The sequence below is a fragment of the Homo sapiens genome, chromosome X (genome assembly GCF_000001405.40).
Source record: "Homo sapiens chromosome X, GRCh38.p14 Primary Assembly".
Classification (NCBI taxonomy): Eukaryota; Metazoa; Chordata; class Mammalia; order Primates; family Hominidae; genus Homo; species Homo sapiens.
The window spans coordinates 35,872,474-35,879,555 of record NC_000023.11 but is presented as its reverse complement, the minus strand read 5'-3'; positions in this window follow the sequence as shown (position 1 = coordinate 35,879,555).

The window sequence follows — 7,082 nt, the reverse complement described above, 5'->3', positions numbered from 1 at the left end:
CAATGTTAGGAAAATCTGACACCCAGGGTGCACACAGCTTGGGAAATTATCAAGTTGACAGCCACCACTACATACAGATATGTCATTTTTTCTTGTAATAAACTTGAGAGAGTGAGAGCATTGACAAGTAGTTACTTTAAGCAGGCTGCAACAAAGTAACAGCAGGAAAAAGTTGGAAAATAACATGTAGGAAATTTTTGTTGTTGTTGTTTAGAAAGTCTATACTGATGTTCGTCTTTTATTTAAAGTGTCTAGCTCAGTCATTTAATACTTGATAGCCCATACCTGAATAAGAATGTTGAGACTGGGTGCGGTGGCTCACGCCTGTAATCCCAGCACTTTGGGAGGCCAAGGCCGGAAGATCACCTGAGGTCGGGAGTTCGAGACCAGCCTGACCAACATGGAGAAACCCCGTCTCTACTAAAAATACAAAATTAGCCAAGCGTGGTGGCTCATGCCTGTAACCGTAGCTACTCGGGAGACTGAGGCAGGAGAATCGCTTGAACCTGGGAGACAGAGGTTGCAGTGAGCCAAGACTGCACCATTGAACTCCAGTCTGGGCAACGAGAGCGAAACTCAGTCTAAAAAAATAATAATAATAATGTTGCATGCCATTTTTCATACTAATTTTTCTATTTAAAGGAGGGTTATAATAACTTATTTGGTATTCTTCACAACTAGGCTTATTTATAAGGTGACATTAGGTTCCCTATTTCTTGCATACACTCTTTGAGCACACCCAGATCCCCATTACAGGGCTTTTCCATGCATGCCTCAGTTGTGGATGTTGGCTCCTGACAGGTTATGCCTGTCCCCTTCTCCAGAGGATCACCCCTGACTAAAGGAAGATGCCCTATGCAGAGATACCTGTGGAGGTTACCCTGTCATCATTACAACCTCAAGATCCCTGCATCACACTATACACAAAAATCCACTTTTGAAGGATTAAGTAGTAGGGAAGAATTTCTCAAACCTGCCATTAGAAGGTGCTAAATATAAAATAATGAATTGATAAGAAGTAATCAGAACAAAAAGATCAAACAATTCTGTAGAAAAGTTGGCAAAACCATGAACAGATATTTAACAACAGGAATATTGATGTAAATAAATAAACAAAAATATAACTAATTTTTTTTGTAAACTTAGAAAAGAAGATTAAGACTACAGTGATATATTATTTTACTTACTTGCCTTAGGCAAAAGTTAACCCCAATAATACCAAATGTTGGTGACTATTTGCCATATTCTTGGTGGATACAACCACACCAGGTAGTATTATGCAAGTGTAATGTTTGTGAATCCTACAGACCAGCATTTCCACTTCTAAGTATATCTGAAGAAAACTCTCCTACATGTGCAAAACAAGGAACGTTCCATTTTATTTCATAGTAGCATTATTCAAAATAGCCAATCTGGAAGCACACAAGCTTCCTTTGACAAGTGAAGGGATATTAAGGATATTTATGTACATTCAGATATTATATATCTGTGAAAGTTAATGAACCTCAGCTAAAGTAACAGTGATGTCATGAATCATAGCAACATAATATTCAGTTTAAAAAAATGAGTCACAGAAGACCACATATATTATGGTATGGTATGATAACATTTTACAAAACAACAAAAGGTACAAGGTCAAGCATATTTATAATTAGAAATATATGCCTAAATAAAGATACAAAAATAAAGAAAAGACATGATTACACAAAAATCCAGAATGTTGATGTTCAGGGGTATAAGAGAATAAGATTGAGCAAGAGCACCAAGGGAAAAATGCAGAAGTACTAGGAATATTATTTAATTCACTTGAATAGTGGGATTCATGGGTATTCATTTTATTACTATGACTTTTAGCTTACTTATAAATTATAAGTTACATGTATTCTTTTGTTTAAATGCATGTTTAAGCAATAAAACTTTTAAAATCATGACCGATAGAGGAAAAACCAATGAAATGTATAACCGAAGTTCAAATTTTGAGGTTTTAAAATTGACTTTCTGTTGCCATGTGTATACAATTATCATATTAAAAGTAAAGAGTAGTTAGCTGCCAAATTAGTCATATATATTTTAAGGATTTCTAAATGTACCAGTATGAACTGCTTATAAGCATTCTTTTCCTTTTTTTTTTTTTTTTTTATTGAGACACAAAAAAAATACAAAAATTAGCCAGGCATGGTGGTTCACACCTGCAGTCCCAGCTGCTCAGGAGGCTGATGTAGGAGGTTTGCTTGAACCCAGGATGTTGAGGCTGCAGTGAGCAGTGATCATGTCACTGCACTATAGCATGGGCAACAGAACAAGGCCCTGTCTCTAAAAAAAAAAAAAAAAAAAGATTTAATCAAATTTTCTCATTACATATACAATAAAATTAACGGCATAAATGAGTTGTCCAATGATAGCTAAATAGCAGCAGACTTCAACTCAAAACCAATTTCTCAATTACTTATCCATGATTTTGAAAAGAATCACATTGGTTTAACTAATCCCAATGGAGACTTTTCTTAATTGTTAACTAATTAGATGAATATTTCTGATTCTTATTAAACTTATAGAAGGGAAATCATATCATTGTGCTTTTTTCTATTTTTCTGGTATTTACTATACTTCGTTTTTTAACTTTCAATTTCAGGGGTACATGTGCAGGTTTGTTATACAGGTAATTTGCATGTCATGGGAGTTTGGTGTACAGACGATTGATCTTTTGTATGGTTTTTCACATCTCAAATTCACTCACTTCAGCTCTGATATTGATTATTTTTTGTCATCTGCTGACTGAGAAATCGTATTTTATAGAAATATGATTAAATAATTTGATAACTTATTTTTTAGTAGACAATATTAAAATAAAAATTTTAAATATAATATATATGAACATTTATTTTGCCCTAAACCAATTATAAAGTGGTAATTAGATTTAAATCTGAATAGGACATTTGAAAATTTTAAAATGGGAAACATTTTTGAATGGCTAAACAAAGTAAAAGTATATAATACAACATTAGGTAAACATTAATTGGCAGTTTTGACAAGCAGTTACTAAGAAAATTACCAATATATAGAAGTTCAGGCAAGTGCACATATAGCACACAATTAAAAACCATTATATGTGGGTATGCATGAGAAAAAGACTGTAAATTGTGGTTATTTTTACCTTTCCAAAACAGTTTACTGAGTATTCATTGTTTTTATGATAATGCCCCCTAAAATCCAAATAATATATCAAAATAAAATGCATTATATCATGAAGGGGAGTTTTAGAACAAGTCTCACATATGTCAAAATTTTTTGAAGAAATGAACTTTTATGTTGACTGTGATCAAGTATGAAATTTCCTACAAAAATAACAATTTTGATGAAAATCTTTTCTATGCTTTGGTTTCTAATTCCAGTGTGATCTAATCTCCTACCAAAAATATAACACGAAATATAAAATAAGTGAAGAAGGAAATGGTTTTTCTGAATACTAATGTGGACTAAGTGCCTTCTGAGATGAAGAGTACAACTGCCTTTAAGAGGGGCATGAATAGACTTCACTGAGCCAATGTGTTGAGGTCTGGGAAGCAAATAGGATGATGAGGAGAACTGGAAATATTCTCTTGGAGGAGTATGATTGTATTCAAAAGTTTTCTTTTATTTTTGTTGAGTGTTTCTCTTTAGCCTTAAAATTTTCTCTTACCTGAAATTCCTTACTTTTCTTTTAATTACCTCAAATTCCATTAAACTGTTTCAACCCTCAGTAGGTTTAGGATAAAGTAGAACCATTGGAAACAATTTAGAAACTTTGTAAATTATAGATGAGCAATGAAAGGCTTTTCCATGCACTTAAGTAAATAAGGAACCAAAGTCATGAGTTCCTTGGAATCTTAATAGTGGCAGGTCCTCTTACTGGTGTCTTGTTAACTGCTTATCTAGTTTCTCACAATGAATATAATCAGATCCTCCTTTTCTTCTCACCTCTCCAAAGTTGATCTTACTTTTCTTGTCTTTAGGTATTTCACCTCTGATCTCATTGAGACAAATGACATCTTTCAGCAAGAAATTTCTCAGAAGTTTCCTTTTTATCACAGAATTGTTATGAAATAAATTAAATTCATTTATTGTTTTTAATCTATTAGTTCATATTTATTGTAGACAATCCATATGTGTACTCTGTCCCAGATTTAGGGTAAGCAAGGGGCCATTTGCTGATGAAGGTCAGCGTAGTAGGAAAGAAAAATTTTTCAACAAATGCAATTTGGGGGCTTGATTTTTCAGGGCAGTTTTAGGTTCACAGCAAAATCAACCAAAAGACACGGGTGTTTCTGTGCCCCCACACTTGTACAGCTTTCCTCACTATCAACATCCCCTACTATCAATATCCCACACCCGAGCAGTACACTCGTTACAATTGATGAGCTTAGATTGACATGTCATTATCACTCAAAGTCCATAATTTACATTACAGTACCCTCTTGGTTCTTGTACATTCTATGGGTTTGGACTAATGAATAATGATGTGTATGTATCATTCTAGTATAATACAGAGTATTTTCACTGCTCTGAAAATCATCTGCTCTCTGTATATCTCTTCCTCCCCACTAACCTCTGGCAACCATTGATATTTTAACTGTCTCCATAGTTTTATCTTGTCCAGAATGTCATATAGCTGGAATCATACAGTATGTAGTCTTCTTAGATTGACTTCTTTCACTTAGTAATATACATGTAAGTTTCTTTTATGTCTTTTCATGATTTTATAGCTTATTTCTTTTTAGCACTATATAATATTCTATTGTCTGGATCTACGATGGTTTATCGTTCACCTACCACAACCTACCTTGGCTGCTTCTGTGTTTTAGCAACTATGAATAAGGCTGCTATAAATATCTGTATGGATGTTTTTGTATGAACATAGTTTTCAATTCCTTTATGTAAATACAAGAAGCACACTCCTCAATTCTATGGTAAAATTATGTCTAATAAGTTCTCTTTATATACTCTATTTGGTGCCAATAGAGGTAGAAAGAAAAAGCAACCCAAATAGAGCAAGTAATGATGTCCTCAGTGTGGAGATAGACTTTGGGATAGTAAAGTCACAAAGGACAAACTACACCTACTAGTGTTTGCTTTAAGTTGCAGCCTTTATTTGCATCTGGTTTGTCTGAGTCGAAGACTGTGGGATCACTAAAAAAATAAAGCATTCTTTCTTTCATGTTTTTTTCTATTACTTATGTAAGTATTACAGTACCTAAATATATGAAGCAAATGTTTACAAAATTGAATAAAGAGACAACTCTACCATAATAGTGGGAGATTTCAATACCCTACTTTAAACAAAAAATAGAAAAACCAGAAAGATCAATAAGAGAATATAGGACCTGAACAAGACTACAGAACAATTAGACTAAACAAACATATAGCGAACACTCCACCCAAGAACAGCAGAATATACATTTTCTCAAGTACACATGGAACATTCTTCAGGATAGGCCACATGCTAGGGCATAAAACAAGTCTTAATACATTTAAAGCCGGATGTGGTGGTTCACACCTGTAATCCCAGCACTTTGGGAGGCTAAGGTAGACAGATCACCAGAGGTCAGGAGTTCAAGAACAGCCTGGCCAACATGGCGAAACCCCATTTCTACTAAAAATACAAAAATTAGCGGGGCTTGGTGGCGGGCACCTGTAATCCCAGCTACTTGGGAGGCTGAGGCAGGAGAATTGCTTGAACCTGGGAGGCAGAGGTTGCACTGAGCCGAGATTGTGCCGTTGCACTCCAGCCTGGGCGACAGAGCAAGACTCTGTCTCAAAGAAAAAAAAAATGCATATAAAAAGATTGAAGTCATACAAAGTATATTTTCTTCTTCAAATGGAATAAAGCTAGAATCAGCAACAGAAGAAAAACAAAAAAATTCACAAATATGCGGAAATTGAACAACACACTCTTAAAGAGCCAATGGTTAAAGCTCATAAAAAACAATGATTCAAATAAGTCAAAAGGAGAATTAGAAAATATTTTGAATCAGATGAAAATGAAATCACAAATCCCAAAACTCATGGGATTCAGTGAGACCAGTGCTAAGAGGAAAACTTAAAACTGGAAGCACTTATATTAAAAAAGAAGAAATATCTCAAGGTAACAACCTAATTTTAGACTTTAAGGAAATAGAAATAATAATAAATTAAACCAAAAGTTAGCAGAAGGAAGGAAATATTAAAGATTAGAGCAGAAATAAATCCAATAGAAAATAGAAAAACAACAGAGAAAATCAAGAAAACAAAGAGTTGGTTCTCGAAAAAGATCAAACAAAATGACAAATCTTCAGCTAAACTAAGACAAAAAGAGAGATTACGCAAACAACTTAAGTATGCAATCAAAGAAGAGGCATTACTGTCTGTATTAGTTTGTTCCTGCATTGCTCTAAAGAAATACCAGAGACTGGAAAATTTATAAATAAAAGAGATTTAATTGGCTCACAGTTCTGAAGACTGTACAGGAAGCATGATGCTGACACATGCTCAGCTTCTGAAGAGGCCTCAGGAAACTTACAATCATTGCAGAAGTCAAAGGGAGAGCAGGCATGACACATAGCCACAGTATGATTAAGAGAACAAGGGGGAATGTGCTACACACTTTTAAACGACCAGATCTCACAAGAACTTACTCAGTATCACAAGGACAGCACCAAAGAGCATGGTACTAAACCATTAATGAGAAACTGCCCCCATGATCTAAGCACCTCCCACCAGTCCCCACCTCCAGCATTGGGAATTACGTTTCAGTATGAGATTTGGGCAGGGACACATATTCAAACTATACTACCACCTATTTTAAAGGGAAATTAAAAGAATTTTATAAGAGCACTATGAACAATTCTTTGCCAATGTATTAAATAAGCAAAATGTAATACACAAATTCTCGAAGAAAAACACAGCCCACCAGGATTGAATCATAAATACATAGAAAATCCTAACAGAAGTACAGCTATTAAAGGGATTCAGTCAGTAATCTCAGTTGCTGCAGAAAAAGTGTTTGGCAAAATTCAATACCCTTTCATGATAAAAACTGTAAACTAGAAATAGAAGAAAATTTCTTC